The sequence below is a fragment of the Homo sapiens genome, chromosome 8 (assembly GCF_000001405.40).
Source record: "Homo sapiens chromosome 8, GRCh38.p14 Primary Assembly".
NCBI classification, from domain to species: Eukaryota; Metazoa; Chordata; class Mammalia; order Primates; family Hominidae; genus Homo; species Homo sapiens.
In genome coordinates, this window is record NC_000008.11 from 50,377,937 (window position 1) to 50,396,720 (window position 18,784).

At 39.3% G+C, this 18,784-nt stretch overlaps 1 protein-coding gene across 21 annotated transcripts in view; it reads left to right on the top strand.

The window, feature by feature from the left end:
* The window catches only part of SNTG1 (syntrophin gamma 1), an 886,897-nt gene that overhangs the window by 468,141 nt on the left and 399,972 nt on the right, over window positions 1-18,784 (top strand). For all 21 annotated transcript variants that reach the window (NR_135796.2, NR_135795.2, NR_135797.2 and 18 more), the window contains one exon: window positions 16,276-16,329. Coding sequence is in view for 16 of the 21 variants with exons in the window: in NM_001287813.3 (NP_001274742.1) it covers window positions 16,303-16,329 (27 nt within the window). In the remaining 5 variants the exon portion in view is untranslated. The remainder of the gene's footprint in view (window positions 1-16,275; window positions 16,330-18,784) is intronic.

An 18,784-nucleotide genomic window follows, 5' to 3' on the forward strand; every position in this document is an offset into this window, starting at 1 on the left:
TGGGATGCTTGAGGTGTCGCTTTTCCGGATGGAAACCTCTGTGGCTGGTGGCACCTTTGCCCGAGTTTTGCTCAGGTCCACTGGGCTCGTTCCGCCCACTCGGCCTGGCAGGCTGTGCTTGGCTCATGCTACCAGCCTGGATCTCATGCCTGCCAGGGCAAGTCATGCATGAAGTGGCAAGGGGTGTGTGAGTGAGCACGGGGTTCGGCCACTGCACGATCAGACACACCAACTGCTGCAGTGGGGAGGGTGGCTCCAGGTGCTGGCATGAGCAACAGCTCTCTGTGAGGCTGTGTCTTGTCCAGGTGCACTTCAAGCAGCTCCCACAGGTGGCATTGCAGAACACAGTGGCACCCAGAAGTTTGGAGATGCCAGGAACCACAGGGCCCCAAAGATGGTGTCACAGCCCTGGCTCAGGGAGTTCACAGATCTGGGAATACTGAAGGGCCACAGCTCTTCCCTCCTTCTCTTCGCCTGCAACATGATGAGCAAGGGGCATGTTTCAGCCCTGCTGGTGTTACAGCTGTTTTAGCCCTGCCAGTTGATAGATCCTGAGTTCTTGTGCTGTGACCAGGAAAAATGAGGTGTGCAGACAAGTGGAGGGTGAGCAAGACAAAGAGGAGCTTTATTGATAGATAGGACAGCTCAGAGGAAAGCCACAGCAGGTAGCTCCTTTCTTCAGGCAGGATATCCCAATGAGTGTTCAGCTCTTAGCAGAGAAGGTAGCTCCTCTCTGCTAGGCAAATCATCCTGATGAGTGCTCAGCTCTCAGCAGAGAGGGTAGCTCCTCTCTGCAGACAGGTTGTCCCAAGAAGTGTTCAGTTCTCAGCAGAGAGGGTAGCTCCTCTCTGCAGCTGGTCATCCTGGCACCTGCTCAGCTTTGGCTGATCCTAGGGCTTTTACGGGCCTCAGAGGGGAGAAAGGGCATGTGATTAGTCCATGGGAGCCATAGGTAGGCCCAGAAAAGGCACCACAAGCTCCCACTCTGGTCAGCAGGACTGACAGCCTGTCCCCCAGCCTTCAGGCCCTCCCTGCCCTGAAGGTGGAGCCTTACCAGGGTCTTGCCCCCTTTCACCCAGGAACCTGTCTGCATTCTGCAGCTGTTCATGGAGCCCAGGCTGTAGGTACCAAGGGGCACCTGCAGGCTAGTGAAGAACTGCCCTCAACCCCACCTCAGCTTCCCTTCTGTGCTAGTTGGTGCCCCAAGTCTGGAGGCAGCTGAAGTGGCAAAGGGCTGGTGTGGCAGCATTGCCTTGAGCATGTGAACAGCTGGGTGGGCTTCGACGGCATCTGGGCTTGGCCCCGACTTTGCTCCGAGATCAGAGTAAGTGCTCACAGCAGGGAGTAGCCAGGCAGCAGGAGTAGGCACTTCCTAGCCTATGAAAGCAGGGGGGGCCTTCATGGGCCCCCAGAGATGCCTTGGTTTACAGCCACAGCCATGGCTTCACAGCTGCAGTTGGGCAGCTGCAGTTGTGCCGATGGGGGGTCAGGGGCAGGGCTCCCTCCTGCTCCAGGGCCCAGGAGCACAGGGATGTCTGGATCCACAGCTATGCATTGGGTGACTGCAGCAGCATGTGGGGAGCTCCCACCCCAACTTTGAAGGGGCAGAGCTCCCACTTTTTCCTGGCTCCCACCACTCCATGGAGCATGCAGCCATGGCTGCACCTCTCTTCTGCAGCTGACCTGATGGCAACTGCCGCTCCAGACAGCCTGCTGCTGCCAACAGTAATAATAATAAATGTTAAAAGTGCATAAAACATCTCAGTAATCCCAAGGACTACAGAAACTCTCTTAAAAGGACTCTTTCACACAGGTGAAAGTTACAAGGTGCAAGAGCAACTTCGGAAAATGCCTGGCGGCCATCCCTGTTCTCCAGCATGTGTTAGCTGGTCACAGGGCTGCCCCCTTAAACACCACATTTCCCAGTCCCAGCATGGCTAGATGTGATCTTGTAATGAGAGAATGGAATGTGAATGGGCTTGATGTGTCCAGCTCCCATTTTCTGCCTGGCAGGAGCTTGGACATGAGGGCAGCAATGAACTCTTGTCAGAGCACACATGCTGAGGATGGCAGAGAAATTGGAGGGATGGAGAGTGGGTCCCACAGATTTTGAAATCACCTCGGGACGTTTACGTTTGGACTCTTACAAGAGAAGCAAACTGCTCTCTGAGTTATGCCACTATTATATTGATTTTTTAAAAGAAACCAGTATCCTAACTAACATAAAAAGGTTAAAGATGCTTAAATAGTTGACTCCAAGGTACATATTGTTAAATGAACAAAAAATTCACACAAAATGAAACTCAAGTGACTGTAACCATTGTTTTAAATCCTATTGTTGTAACTGAGTTTGGAGAGAGGACCAATTAATATTTTTCCAACAGTCAAGGCATAACCTGAAGATGTGAATGTGTGTGGAGAGGGTACACACTGGGTTTCAGTTTGGGACACACAAAGAGATAGGAGATAAATTTTGCATATTTCATTATTTTGCCTAGAGCAAACTCTATAAATAGATAACATTTTTCTCTTCAGTAAACTGAACTGTCAGAGTAAGCAGAACATTATAGAGACTTTTTAACACTCATCAAGTAAAGCATTATGGAAATTATCAAAATCATTTAAATCCAAAATATTTTTGCACCAATACTTCCTATTCTGTTTTACATAACTACTTAGCTCTCCATGGGTGCAGCTGGAGAGGTGCATATCTTTATCAGTCTCCTGGGCAATGGAGCATTTGAAGGGAAGCAGTCTTATGTTTTATATTCAGCATGCATAAATTTGGCTGTGTTTGTCTCATTTTATTTTCCAGGTTTTGGTTGCAAAGATGAAGTTTAATCAACAGCTATTGTTGCTGTTCTTATCATAATTGATGATAATAATTCTTTTTAATTTCTGAGTGTTAGATTTAATCATAATAGGCAAGATCTCTAGACAGAGGCCACATCTGATGATGTGACAGTCAGGAAATGTTCAGCTTCACTTTCACTTTTCTTGGTCAGGAACCAGGCTGTTACCATTGTTTGTTAGGTCAGTGACGTAATAATAGTCTAGACAGGCTTCCTTAGGCTAGAGCTTTCCATGCTTTGTGGCTTATCACTGAGCTGTCCATGGAGATTCTACATGGATCAAAGATGAGGTAGGGGACATTCATATATTGTCATTTTTTAAACATTAAAGATGATTTCATCACATTATATGCATTGCAGTTCTCATCTCCATATTTTAGGTAATAAAGTTTACTGATGAAATTTTAAAAATTATTTTCATAGGGGCTTTTTTTTTGCCCCTAGAAAAACTTATGCTAGATAATGATTAACCAATAAACTTATTTTTCTTTTATCCATGGATACAGAAAAGAAGACATTTATAAACTATGTAATTGTTCCTGCATCATATTTTAGTACAAATCAATTACTTTTAAAAAATCATATACAGAAAGCATTAAAAATTTCATATCTGAATAAGAAAAAAAGTAATATGGGAAGATGAATGTGTCTCCAGAGAAAAATAAGTTTTGTTGTTGGAAAAAAAATCTAAAGTTTACATTTTAAATAACAGAATTAGTTAACCTATTGTATTAGTCAGGGTTCTCTAGAGGGACAGAACTAATAGGATATGTGTGTGTGTGTGTGTGTGTGTGTGTGTGTGTGTATATATATATATATCTCCTATTAGTTATATATATATATCCTATTAGTTATATATATATATATATATCCTATTAGTTATATATATATAGGATATATATATCCTATTAGTTATATATATATATAGGATATATATATCCTATTAGTTATATATATATAGGATATATATATCCTATTAGTTATATATATAGGATATATATATATATCCTATTAGTTCTGTAGCTATATATATAACATATATATATATTATATATATATATATATGAAGGGGAGTTTATTAAGTATTAACTCACACAATCATAACGTCCCACAATAGGCTGTCTGCAAACTGAGGATTAAAGAAACCAGTCTGAGTCCCAAAAACTGAAGAACCTGGAGTCTGATGTCTGAGGGCAGGAAGCATCCAGCACAGGAGAAAGATGTAAGCTGGGAGGCTAGGCCGGCCTCGTCTTTTCACATTTCTCTGCCTCCTTTTTATATTCTAGCCATGCTGGCAGCTGATCAGATGGTGCCCACCCAGATTAAGGGTGGTTCTGACTTTCCCAGCCCAGTGATTCAAATGTTAATCTTGGCAAAATCCTCACAGATGCACCCAGGATCAATACTTTGTATCCCTCAATCCAATAAAGTTGATACTGAGTATTAACCATCATATCTATGTTACTAATAAACCAGCTACAAATGAAGTGTTTTCCTTATAGTTTTTATAGTATAACATAGAAATATCTAGTATATATTATATTCTGGAACTTATCATGTTATTAAATGGCTGGCACTTGTTAGTTGTGTTTAAAGGATTTTCAGGAATATCTAGAAATATGCGCTACTAGAGTTATTTGGATACAAGAGACGAAATCCAAATATGACTAGCTCAAACTATAAAATAATTTTTTGGAAAAATATGGACTGTTTCACCAAAGTGAAGAAGCAACTGACCAACTAGGCTTTGGAAAGAGCAGGAAGTAGGGTAGCTCACGGAATCCAGATAATGGGACTGATTGACAGTATTTTTTTCTAGATAATATCATCAAAATAAACTACTTTCAATATTTCAATTTTTTTAAAAAAGAAATATGCTCTTTTAGTCAATTATTATCACAAAATATTACACAATAAAACAATAAAATCTCAGTGGCATACACAACTGTATCAGTCAGGATTCTCCGGACCAGCTGAAGCAGTAGAATATCTATGTATGTGTACACATATTTTAAGAGACCCATTTAAAGAAATTGGCTCATGCAATTGTGTGGGCTGGCAAGTCCAAATTCTGTAGGGTAGGCTGGCAGAATGGAAACTCTTGGGCAGGAGTTGGTGCTGCCTACTCGAAACAGAATTTCTTTATCAGAGAAACCTCAATGTTTGCTTTTAGGGCCTTTCAGTGATTGCATGAGGACCACCCACATTATTGGGAATAATCTCCTGTACTTAAAGCCAACTGATTTCAGATGTTAACCACATTAAAATACCTCCACAGCAACACTTAGATTAATGCGCAATTAAATAATTGGGCACCATAACCTATTCAAGTTGACACATAAAAGTAACCATCACAGCTCACCCTTTGTCAACGTAACATTCATATATATCCCCTTAAACCTACTTTAGCTCCAAATAAAAACCATCACAAAGTCATCCTTCTAACGAATATGATACAACAGTCCTTTGTATAATCAAAAACACACTAATTATTTCCCTAGAAGGGGATACAAAGGCCTTGAGTAATCTCCTTGATATGCTGTAATTTAAATGCTGTGATGTAAAATTAACTATTATTAATAAATCTTATGTTAGATGATAAGGGAATAAAGAAGGGAAGAAAACAAAGATAATTGACATATATTATACATATGTGTATACACACATATATATGTTTGTAAGTGTACATGCACATACAGTCAAGTTTATAACAAAATGAGAAAGAAATAACAATTACAGTCCTCATTTTTGCAGCTGATCATGTGGTGGTAGTTGGTAGTAATAACCGCCTTTTTCCACTACCCATTCCTTATTCCTTGTGTCCTCAGCAAACACCTCAGCTGGTCATAGTTCTTCACCTGGTAAGGTAACCCAAATCTTCATTCCTGAAGTGTCTGGGCCATTAATAGTCCCTGCCTGAACGGGGTTATTGCAGTTTTCCATTGGCATGAATCACAAGCATGGTAAGACACACCTAAGGAACCTCCTGTGCATACTCTTCCTGACCTCCAAGCTGGAGCAGCCCAATTTCCCTCTGGAAGTCAGTATCAATCACCCCAGTCAGAGGAGTAACTCATTTCTTTGCATGTTGATTCAGAGGCAATGGAGTCCAAAGTGGCTGGGAGTATCTCAACTTCCAATTCAATGAAATCATTGTTGGATCTCCTAATAGAAACATTCTTCACTGTGGAATGAAGACCTCTAAACCAGAAGAGAATAAGGTCGCAGGTACAGGAAACAAAAGTTTTGCTAGTAAGTAGAGAGTAATACTGAGAGGCACTACCCTCATTTCCTAAACTCATGAATTCTGGTAATGGGAGAGACAGCACCATATATTGAACATATACAGCTTCCTGGAGAACTTTGACTCAGCCCTGCAAGAAAATGCCACCTGGCTGATGCCATAACTGTTTTCAAAAGGCCATTGCACTGCTCTATCAAGCCAACTTCAAGATGGTGGGAAAATGGTAAGACCAGCCCAGTGAAATTTATGAGCATGGACTCACTGCTTCACTTCATTTTCTGTGAGGTGAGTGCCTTGATCAGAAGAAATGGTGTATGGAATATGATGACAGTTAATAAGGCATTCTGTAAATCCACAAATGGCAATTTTAGCAAGAACGCTGTGTATAGGAAAGGCAAATTCATATCCAAAATAAATGTCTATTTCAATAAGCACAACATGCTGACCTTTCCATGATGTAAGTGTGGCCCAATACAATAAACCTGCCATCAGGTACCTGGCTTATCACTCTGGGGAATTATGCCATACTGGGCTCAGTGTTGGTCTATGCTGCTGACAAATTGGGCACTCAGCAGTGGCTGTAACCATGTTGGCCTTGGTGAGTGGAAGTCCATGTTGCACCTGCATATTGTGCAGAACCATCTCTAACCCAAGTCAACTTTTCTCTTCCTCCAGTGAATTGTGGTTAGGAAACTCCCCATGAGACCATAGGTGTGGGCTAAGAGAAAGAAGGTAATGGAGCAAGAGTGGAAACCATAGATAATTGAAGTTCTTTCTCTTGTAAACTATTTGTGCCTTAGGGTCTGCTTGAGCCCGATCACTTCCATTTGATGATGTGTACCCCTAATTTTATGGCTTGGTCTATTGGATGATACCCAGTTCATGATGAACATCTCAGGTGACTTGGTGTCCCATGGTTAATCATTCTGTATCTACTAATAGCCAATAGCAGAAAAAGAGCTGTCTCTTAAAAGGGAGTTGTTATCCAGAGAAGAAAGCAGGGATTAGCTCCCAAATTCTGAGGACTTGTCCTGTGATTCACCTACAGGGACATGCCAAAGGCTCTAAACAGCATCCCTGTCTGCCACTGCCACTTCACATGACAGATATTCTGCGTCATATGTTCCAAGTGGTAGAGCGGCTTGCACAGTAGCCTGGACCTGACGCAGAATCTTCTCCTGTTCTGGACCCCACTTGAAATCAGCAGCTTTTTGAGTCACTTCTCTAAAGAGGCCATAGTAGTCCACCCAAATGAGGAATATGTTGCCTCCAAAACTCAAATAGGCCTCCTAGGCATTGTCCCTCTTTTCTGGTCATAAGCAAGGCCAACTGCAACAACCTATTCTTTACCTTAGAAGGGTATCTCAACTGACATCACACCACTGGACCCCCAGAAACTTTGCTGAGGTAGAAGGTCCTTGAATTTTTGTCAGATTTATTTCCCACTTTCTGACACACAAATGTCTTGTTAATAAGCCTAGAATAGTTCCTAATTCTCACTTACTAGGTCCAATTAACTTAATGCCATCACTGTAATGAGCCACTGTGGAATCTTGTGGAAAGGGGAAGTGATTCAAAATCCTTGTGAGCTATTGACATAGGGCTGAAGATTGATACATCTCTGAGGTAGGACAGTGAGGGTATATTGCTGTCCTGGCCAGCTGAAAGCAAACTGCTTCTGATGGGCCTTATGGACAGGAATGGAGAAAAAGGGATTTGGCAGGTCAATAGCTGCATGCCAGGTACCAAGGGATATGTTCATTTGCTCAAGCAATAAAACCACATCTGCTACAGAGCTTCAATTAGAGTCACCACCTGGCTAAGCTTGTGGTAATCCATTGTCAGTCTCCAAAATCCATCTGTCTTCTGCATAGGCCAAGTAGGTCAGTTGAATTGGGATATAGTGGGAATCACTTCTCCTGAAACTTTTGAGTCCTCGATGATAGTAATAAAGTCTACAATATCTCGAGGAAAGTGGTATTGTTCTTGGTTTGCTATTTTACTTGCAAAGGTAAGTTAAAGGTAGTTCTAATGGCATCCATTTGGCCTTTCCCATAGCAACAGCTCTCACTCCACATGTCAGAAAACCAATGTGGTGATTCTGCTAGTTACTGAGCAAGTCAATTCTAATTACACACTCAGAACCAGGGGAAAAACATACAATGTGTTCACAGACTACCTTGGCCTTACCCTGAGATGGACTTGAGCTAAAACTCCGCTGGTTACTTCCACAGCCCCTCTTCTGATTGGTGGACCACAGTGGTGTTTTGTGTCTCCAGGAATTAGTGTCATTTCAGAACCAGTGTCTGGTAGTTGCTGAAAGATATGGTTTTTTCCCTTCTTTAATTCATATTTAGTTCACATTTATTTGCCCTGGTAAAAGATTCTGCAATTCTTTGGGGGAGGCTGGGAGCAAGATTAACAACATACACCTGTGGTAGGGTATCAGCGTCCTTCTTTATGTGGCCCGACTTCCTTTCTTTATTAGTTCATTTGTATTGCTATAAAGGAATACCTCAAGCAGGCTAATTTATAAAGAAAAGGGGCTTACTTTGACTCATGGTTCTGCAGGCTGTGCAAGAAGCATGACACCAGAGTCTACATATGCTGAGGTCCCAGGAAGCTTTTAGTCACAGCAGATGGAAGGGGAGCCAGCATGTCATGTGGTAAGAGAGGAAGCAAGAGAGAAAGAAGGGAGGTTCCAGACTCTTTTAAACAGCCAGGTCTGGCATGAACTTATTACTACAGGGAGGACACCAAGGCATTCATGAGTGATCTGCCTCCATAACACAAACACTCTCCACCGGGCCCACCTTCCACACTAGGGATCCCATTTCAACATGAGATTTGGAGTGGACGAACATTCAAACCTTCATGCAAGGGGCTCTGGTTCTACAAACCATTTCAATTCTGGGAACTGAGTGAGAGTCTATGACTCTATTCTGGTGATTCATACTAGAATTTTCACTCAACCTAGAATTCATTTGCTTGTACTGATCAAATAAAAATTTAGTAGGCTTCCTGTCTATTTTGCTTCTAGGGACACATGATCAACTTGCCAACACCATAGGCCTCTCCGAGTTAAGCTACTCTGATTACTGCCTTGGCCCTGATTTCCATTCTCATAACCATGGCCTCTTTGTCTTTGCCACTTGGGCCCTGTCATCCCAGGATCCAATTACTGCCATTGCATGTAAGGATTCCAGTTCAGTGGCAATAGTTCCTATGGTAATTTCTGCCCTACAGAGAAGAGTGCCCGAAGAGCTCTTTAACAGAGCCACCACACAAATTTCTTCCTCAGAGTCAAGTCGAAAGGTGCATTCTCTGGGCCCTCCCAGGGTCAGTGAGGGGCTCTTGTATGATAAATCCACTCTAACATTCCAGTACTCTTAAGTCATCTGTTAACTTCCTCTGCAGTGTACCAAGGCGATCCTGGCATTTTAATGTAATTTATTATAAGTCATTTTTTTTTGGTCCATGTTTAAACCCAAGTCAACTAAACAAACTGTCAGAATCCTTTCTAACACCCCAAATTTACATCCAGAATTTATGCTTAGTGGGGCAATATCAATCAATTTGACCTAGTCCAAATTTATGTGCCTTCCAACATTATCCAAAATCATGAGTATCCATTCCACACGTATTTCCCAGAAGTCTGTCTGTATAAATTGAAAAAATATGCAATGATTTTGAAGTGGAACACACGTTTAATGGGTTAAACTTTGTATCTCACCTTTTTTCACCTGTTGCCACTTGAGTGTACTTATACCTATAAAAGAAAAGAGGGTTGGTGGGGTTGGATCCTCAGGAGAATCAGCATTGTTTTTAGGACAACCACCTCAGTGAAGGCTATCACTCTACCACCAAAGAAGACTCAGCAGAACTTAGGGGTTCACTGAGCTCAGCTTCATCACAGACTTCATATATGTCTTCCTTCCAATATTCAGGGTCCTGTTTTTCCCAATCAACGTCTGTGTTTAACAGAAGAAACTTTGCTAAGCTGGGGTTTAATTTGTAATGTAATTCAGTGACTAGCAGGATGAGACTCTGGGTTTAGTGTTCAGAAATCTCAGGCTCATGGCTATAGGAGATAAGGGTATAATCTAAGACAGGCATATGCATTTTCAGGTCATATATGCAGGGCATAGGCTAGTAATTTGAAATCCTAGGCTCACCCTTTTTCTCTCTACTTTCTATACCATGGTTAAGAGCAAACAACCAATCTTATTGCACTCATTATTTGACAGAACTGTTCTAAGTTATCAAATACTTGGTCACTGAGAACCTTGCCTTATCAATACTTGAGTAGTAGTATTCAGTGGTGATATTGTGTGTATCTCTATTGCCTCTTTGTGCCATGGACTACCAGTGTTCTTGTTAATACTGGAAATAGAGTCTTTACTGCCTTTAAATCTAATTAGATTACAGAATCAATTCCTGAAACCCCAAAACCAAGTCAAAAAACTCATTCTTAGAATTCTGTGCCTTTAAAACCACTGTTGGTACCCAAATCTATATCAGTCATGGTTCTACAGAGGAATGGAATCACTGTGTATATGACTAACATGAATGGGATTCAGCAAGTCTAAAATCTACATCAGCCCAGCAGGCTGGAAACTCTCATGCAGAAGCTGATGATGCAGTCTGGAGGCAGAATTTCTTCTACAGAGGAAACTCATGCTTGCTTCTGAGGCTGTTCAACTTATTTGATGAGACCCACCCACATTATTGAAAATAGTCTCCATTATTTAAAGTGAGTTGATTATATATATCATCTGCAAAGAAACTTCACAGCACCACCTAGATTAGTGTTTGATTAAATGGCTGGGCTCTGTAGCAGCTAAAGCTCACCACCACAAATATCAAGCACTTATTTGACGCAGGAGTCTTCAATGTGATTGTGGCAGCTCTGTCCTGGGCAGGGATGTAAGGGTGGTTGGGATGAATCTTGCATTCTGTGGGTCATATAAGAAGTTTGGCTCTGTGTGTGTCACTTTAAGGCCAGGCCAACAGGGCAGCAGCTTCTTGGGGAAACTGTTCTCGTGCAATTGCAGAAGTGCTAGAGGGCACGGGAAGCATGTGAGGCCTGTAGAGAAACTAGCATATGGTCATTTCTCCCCACCCATAGCTGGAGTAGACATAAGTAATTTTGATAATAAGTGCAGTCTATATGAATGAACGTAAAATAAACTATGCTGTAGTGGATACAGTTGTTTCCCACAGGCCTGTGGGTTAGCATTTCTTATGGCTATACATGTATACTGGGATTGCACAACTGAGCACATGAATGATTGGTTATTGGAAACTATGTTTCTCACTGTCAGAGACTTATCCAGTGGAAATACTTAATCGATTGTATGACATGTTCAGTTTCTACTAAAAATGAACAATCTATTTCCTTTCACAGCCAACAGGCCCTGGTGTGTGACGTTCCCCTTCCTGTGTCCAAGTGTTCTCATTGTTGGCTTGGTTCGAAGTCTTTGCTATTGTAAATAATGCCACAATAAACATACGTGTGCATGTGTCTTTATAGCAGCATGATTTATAATCCTTTGGGTATATACCCAGTAATGGGATGGCTGGGTCAAATGGTATTTCTAGTTCTAGATCCCTGAGGAATTGACACACTGTCTTCCACAATGGTTGAACTAGTTTACAGTCCCACCAACACTGTAAAAGTGTTCCTATTTCTCCACATCCTCTCCAGCACCTGTTGTTTCCTGACTTTTTAATGATCGCCATTCTAACTGGTTCAAGATGATATCTCATTGTGGTTTTGATTTTCATTTCTCTGATGGCCAGTGATGATGAGCATTTTTTCATGTGCCTTTTGGCTGCATAAATGTCTTCTTTTGAGAAGCATCTGTTCATATCCTTCGCCCACTTGTTGATGGGGTTGTTTGTATTTTCTTGTAAATTTGTTTGAGTTCTTTGTAGGTTCTGGATATTAGCCCTTTGTCAGATGAGTAGATTGCAAAAATTTTCTCCCATTCTCTAGGTTGTCTGTTCACTCTGATGGTAGTTTCTTTTGCTGTGCAGAAGCTCTTTACTTTAATTAGATCCCATTTGTCAATTTTGGCTTTTGTTGCCATTGCTTTTGGTGTTTTAGATATGAAGTCCTTGTCCATGCCTATGTCCTGAATGGTATTGCCTAGGTTTTCTTCTAGGGTTTTTATAGTTTTAGGTCTAACATTTAAGTCTTTAATCCATCTTGAATTAATTTTTGTATAAGGTATAAGGAAGGGATCCATTTTCAGCTTTCTACATATAGCTAGCCAGTTTTCCCAACACCATTTATTAAATAGGGAATCGTTTCCCCATTTTTTGTCAAAGATCAGATAGTTGTAGATGTGTGGTATTATTTCTGAGGGCTCTGTTCTGATCCATTGGTCTATATCTCTGTTTTGGTACCAGTACCATGCTGTTTTAGTTACTGTAACTTTGTAGTATAGTTTGAAGTCAGGTAGCTTGATGCCTCCAGCTTTGTTCTTTTGGCTTAGGATTGACTTGGCAATGCTGGCTCTTGTTTGCTTCCATATGAACTTCAAAGTAGTTTTTCCCAAATTCTGTGAAGAAATTCATTGGTAGCTTGATAGGGATGGCATTGAATCTATAAATTACCTTGGGCAGAATGGCCATTTTCATGATATTGATTCTTCCTACCCATGAACATGGAATGTTTTTCCATTTGTTTGTGTCCTCTTTTATTTCATTGAGCAGTGGTTTGTAGTTCTCCTTGAAAAGGTCCTCCACATCCCTTGTAAGTTGGATTCCTAGGTATTTTATTCTCTTTGAAGCAATTGTGAATGGGAATTCACTCTTTATTTGGCTCTCTGTTTGTCTGTTATTGGTGTATAAGAATGCTTGTGATTTTTGCACATTGATTTTGTATCCTGAAACTTTGCTAAAGTTGCTTATCAGCTTCAGGAGATTTTGGGCCAAGATGATGGGGTTTTCTAAATATACAATCATGTCATCTGCAAACAGGGACAATTTGACTTCCTCTTTTCCAAATTGAGTACCCTTTATTTCTTTCTTCTGTCTGATTGCCCTGGCCAGAACTTCCAACACTGTGTTGAATAGGAGTGGTGAGAGAGGACATCCCTGTCTTGTGCCAGTTTTCAAAGGGAATGCTTCCAGTTTTTGCCCATTCAGTATGATATTGGCTGTGGTTTTGTCATACATAACTCTTATTATTTTGAGATATGTCCCATCGATACCTAATGTATTGAGAGTCTTTAGCGTGAAGGACTGTTGAATTTTGTCGAAGGTCTTTGCTGCATTTATTGAGATAATCACGTGGCTTTTGTCTTTGGTTCTGTTTATATGCTGGATTACGTTTATTGATTTGTGTATGTTGAACCAGCCTTGCCTACCAGGGATGAAGCCCACTTGATCATGGTGGATAAGCTTTTCGATGTGCTGCTGGATTCAATTTGCCAGCATTTTATTGAGGATTTTTGCATCAATGTTCATCAGGAGTATTGGTCTAAAATTCTCTTTTTTTGTTGTGTCTCTGCCAGACTTTGTTATCAGGATGATGCTGGCCTCATAAAATGAGTTAGGGAGGATTCCCTCTTTTTCTATTGATTGGAATAGTTTCAGAAGGAATGGTACCAGCTCCTCTTTGTACCTCTGGTAGAATTCGGCTGTGAATCCATCTGCTCCTGGATTTTTTTGGTTGGTAGACTATTAATTATTGCCTCAATTTCAGAGCCTGTTATTGGTCTATTCAGAGACTCAACTTCTTTCTGGTTTAGTCTTGGGAGTGTGTATGTGTTGAGTAAAATGGCATTTTACTTCTGAGATCGTCCCCCTCCAAAACCCCATAACCACACTATAATAGTTAAAAAGAACATCAGAATAATCCCAATGGAAGAATATCTTACAAATTCCTTACCAGCATGCTTCAACACTGCTAAGGTCTTTAAAAATAAGCAAAGTCTGAGAAACAGTCACAGCCAAAAGAAGCCCAAGGGAAAAAGGGGACTACATGTAATGACGTGCCTTGGAAGCAATCCTAGAACTGAAAACAGACAGTAAGGAAAACTAGGAAAACACAGATGAAGTTTAAACTTTAGATAGTACTAATGTATCAGCAATGGTTCATTAACTGTAATCAATGTGACATAATCATATAAGATGCTAACAGTAGAGAATAATGGAAGTGGAGAACTGTCAGAAGAAAAAATTACAACAATTGTAGCAAAATGATTGGATTGGCTTTGATTGTGATTTATGAATCATGGCAGCATCTCCTTTAAACATTTAGACAAGGTGTTCTGATGAGCTGAGCCCTGGAGGTGGGATTTATATGCAGAAAGGACTGAAGAAAGAATAAAAGCCAAAACATCGATTATTCATTACAAAGTTACTTTCCTTTTAGGGTTAAAGCAGAGGGGACTTATTTAATGCCAGCTAAAATTGGCCTCTTTGGCTCTTTGGCTATTATTCCCTCTCCCAATGTTTTAGAAAAGTCAAATAATCATCTTGCTTTCAGTTTGGTGATGTGAAGCTTTAGCAAGAGTAACTTCATTTTGATATGGTCTAGTAGAACCTGAGGAACTCAATCCAAATAAGTTATCTCCTATATATTTTATCTAACTGTATGTAGAAATTCTTTGTGCTTATATATGAATTACTTTTCTGAACAAACAACTGATATTATCACCTAATGTTTTGATGAAAAAGAATAGAAGATTAGAATTGAAAAAAGGAAGATGTGCTAAAAATGGTAGAAAGTATAGATATAGCACCTGCTCAAATGTGCCATGTTATGAAATAATTAAAATTTTAAGATGTATGCATTAAAATTAAATACAGCATATGAAACAAATATGAGGTTATATTTAGATGGTTCAGTATCCTCATGTCTATTTCTCTGGTTGCTTTTTAGTAGCAAGAAATTGATTCCAGACATCTCTTGTTTTTATATAATCAATACATATCAAAATTTTCCTTCTTTTGTAGTAAAAGAATAACTTTACATCACAGTTAGAGACAAGAAGATATTTACAGGTTCTTCAAATAAAATGTTTAAGAGCAATTTTGAAAAATAATTAAGTTAGTAATAAAAATTTCATTAATATTAATGAGGCTCACAATCCACAAGATTTATCTAGGGGAAATATTTAATAGATTATATGATGCATTTGGTTACTACTGATGATGGCTAATCTCTTTCTTTCAAAGTCAATAGTAATAATCTATCAGTTCAGTGACAGCATGGTGATACCTCCTACTCTGTTTTGCCACACTTACCTGATAAAGCATTAATTAATCTTGTATAATTAAAAAGAAATGCCAAAGAAAGATATAATAGTTTACTCTTCCAAAGGCTGAGATGAGTAATTTTGAGGAGTACAAAGTCTTCTATTTTGGAATTAATCATTCATCTTACTTTGACGTCTCATTTACTTATCCATTATATTTTGGCTCTGCATTGCTTTGTTTTATAGTGTCTGGGTGTCAACTTTCCGTGACATATCTTAGTTTGGTTAGGTGTATCACGTAATGAAAACAAAACACTCCAGAATAATTTTACAAAAACATCTATATGTATTTAAATCTACATTCATCATTTAGGTATTATAGTGACCATAGATGAATCTATTTTAGATATTTTATACATTGATTTTTCTTAATATTATTCACTCTGACAAATAGCTTGCTTCCTTACATCATATTGTGAATAAAATTTTAAGTTCCAGAGAGAATTATTCATGCATGTAGCTTTTTAATTAAAAAGAGAGAGATTAGTCAATCTTTTTTCATGAGGTAACCATATGAAAGGCAACTTTTAATTGCTCTTTTTGAAGTTTCTTTCTCAATTGCAAACTCAGGTTTCACAATGCATGTTGGGAATGAGCGAGAAGAGGTTGATCTGATGATACATGGAGTCTGAATGCCTGCTGGCGGGGTGGAAAGGTGCCTGGAAATGCACACTCAATCACACTGAATGATGGCAGGATATTTATACTTCCTAAAAGCTGGGGATTAAGACTTTTTTCATCTGTTCATTTTCCTCTCTTCAGTATACCCTGGAGCTCTTGTTCCTTACAAGTGGTTGTAAACACAGTTTTCCCACAAGTTCTGCTTCACGATTTCCTCCACTATATTAGTGTTCTCTCTTACATGCCATGCTGTGCCTAATGGCTTACCATTTCTGTGTCTTTTCAGACGACATCCTTTGTGGTGCCACAGCACATGGATTTCAGAACCGCCTGTGAGGAGGTGAGTACAGAGCTTTCTGCTTTTCAAACAGGGAAAACAGAATATAAGCGGGAAACACTTGGCTCCAATTTATATAGGGAAATTCTGCTTTTGGCAGAAAATGGAGAGAGGAGGATGGGCTCTTTTTCCTTCCAGATTACGTTCTCCTTCTGCAAAGATAGAAAACCTAACTGTGCATGGAAAGCCTTGGACTTTAACTCTTTCTTTAGGAAGACTGGAGCATATTGAATATAATTGAGTTGCTCCTCTTCACCAACTCTGCACATTTCAGGTAGTGGAAGTGTTGGAAAGAATTCTTTTCACATAAATGGTAATAAATTAGAAGACATCTAAGGTTCCTTTCAGCCCTAAAATTCTATGATTTTATGATTCTGATAGTATTTAAGTAATTCAATATTATTTAAGTATTAATACACAAGAATTTAGATTCTCTGTAGAGCTGTCATCACATTTCAGCACGAGTTAAAGTGGCACATTAGTATTTCAAGGATGATAAACAGTGTTCAAGTTTACAGTTCAATAGTGCATGGATGTGGGCCCCCAGGGAATACAACCATTCCATCTTAGGAAGAAAAACTAACTTTTTTTTTTTTTTTTACTAAATATGTAACATTCAAAGTATTGTGTTTTCATTCTTCAGGCAAAATACAAATACTTGCAGCTTAAAAATGTTTTATATTTGTTTAAAAGGTTTAAAGCATTTTTTTATTGTATATAAACAACTCAACAAAAACCAACCATAACTGCTTACCTCTGGTAGTGTTAAAATCAAACTAGGGAAAGACTTCAGTTCTTAACCTTGTGAAGACTGTTACTTTAGTGAAATGTCATGTGTTTACAGTTCTTGCATGAATTTGTGGAAAGTAACTCCTTATTTTCTTCTAAAGCAATTGAAAAAATATATATTTAAAAATACTTGTCACTGTTGGTAAGAAGTTCAGAATATAAATATAAGGTTTTTCAGAAAACTAATAAATTGCTTTTATATTTCTATTCTTATGTTTCTACTTTTAATGCTTTAAGCATAACATTTTAAACATATCTCTATGCTAATACTCATCAAATTACAAGGCAGTTTTTTTGTTTACAAACCTTTCTCATGTGCTACACTGAATACTATAAGGTCAGAGTGTGTACATTATTCATCTTTTTAACTTAGCACTTATTGGTTCATATATTTTTAAAAACTGAATTAATGTTCTAGAAGCTTTGTATTTTAAATTTTAATTGTCTAATTTCTGTTTTTTTTTTTTTTTTTAATGGAGTCTCACTCTGTCGCCCAGGCTGGAGTGCAGTGGCGCGATCTCGGCTCACTGCAAGCTCTGCCTCCTGGGTTCATGCCATTCTCCAGCCTCAGCCTCCGAAGTAGCTGGGACTACAGGTGCCTGCCACCACGCCAGGCTAATTTTTTTATTTTGTATTTTTGTATTAGAGACGAGGTTTCACCGTGTTAGCCAGGAAGATCTCGATCTCCTGACCTCGTGATCCACCCGACTCGGCCTCCCAAAGTGCTGGGATTACAGGCGTGAGCCACTGTGCCCGGCCCATTTCTGGTTTTAATTGCATACTTAATTTTAAAAGTAGCAAGTCTTCTATTTCCATTAATGTGCAACCTTATGTCTTGAGTAGTAAGGCATTCATTGAAACCCAGTGGATATTTGTGTGAATGAGATACTTATGGGACACATGACATTCATATGGTACAGATTGGACAGTGGTCAAATACTATTTAACAAATGGTTTATTTTGGATTTCAGAGGCTGGAAAGATTTACAAGAGCTTTTTGTAAACAAAATTGTTTTGATGTACTAATTTGGGATATTTCTCAAATTCTATTAAGATACAGAAGATTTATTTAATTGGTAATACTGTTATTACCATACTAGCTCTTGTAAATTAGTAATCCTTAGTACTGAAAAGAGTGACAACCTGTTACTGAGATAACAATATAGAAGAGGAAATTAAATCACTCATGTGAGATATAGCTAAATATTGCTGAAGTCACTATATGTGATGCCAAAAGACAATAGTGATCAATTTTGGGGTAAATATTTACTTAATGGAATCCAAGTGTTCAGGAAAGTGAGGACTCATCTTTGAATAGAATGATTTCAGAAGGCTTCAAAGAGAAGGGAGTCTGGTGCCAGGACTCGAATAATGGCTAGAATTTAGTTAAGGAAAAGGCCATGATCAAAAGTAATCCAGGAATGGGAACGTAAATGATAAGATGCAGTTTGAAGCACTTTGCATAAAAGAACATTTAGTACACTACTGCTACAATGCAGTACAGTATAAGACAAAACAAATTAAATCGTATTTGGCACTTGAAACATGGAAATACTGTGGATACTTGCAAGAAAATTTGCAGTCCATTTTATTATCTCTGCCTACTTTTTGTAGTTTGTCATTTCTTATATCTGATATTGTGAGTATATTTCAAAATTAATAGACCTTA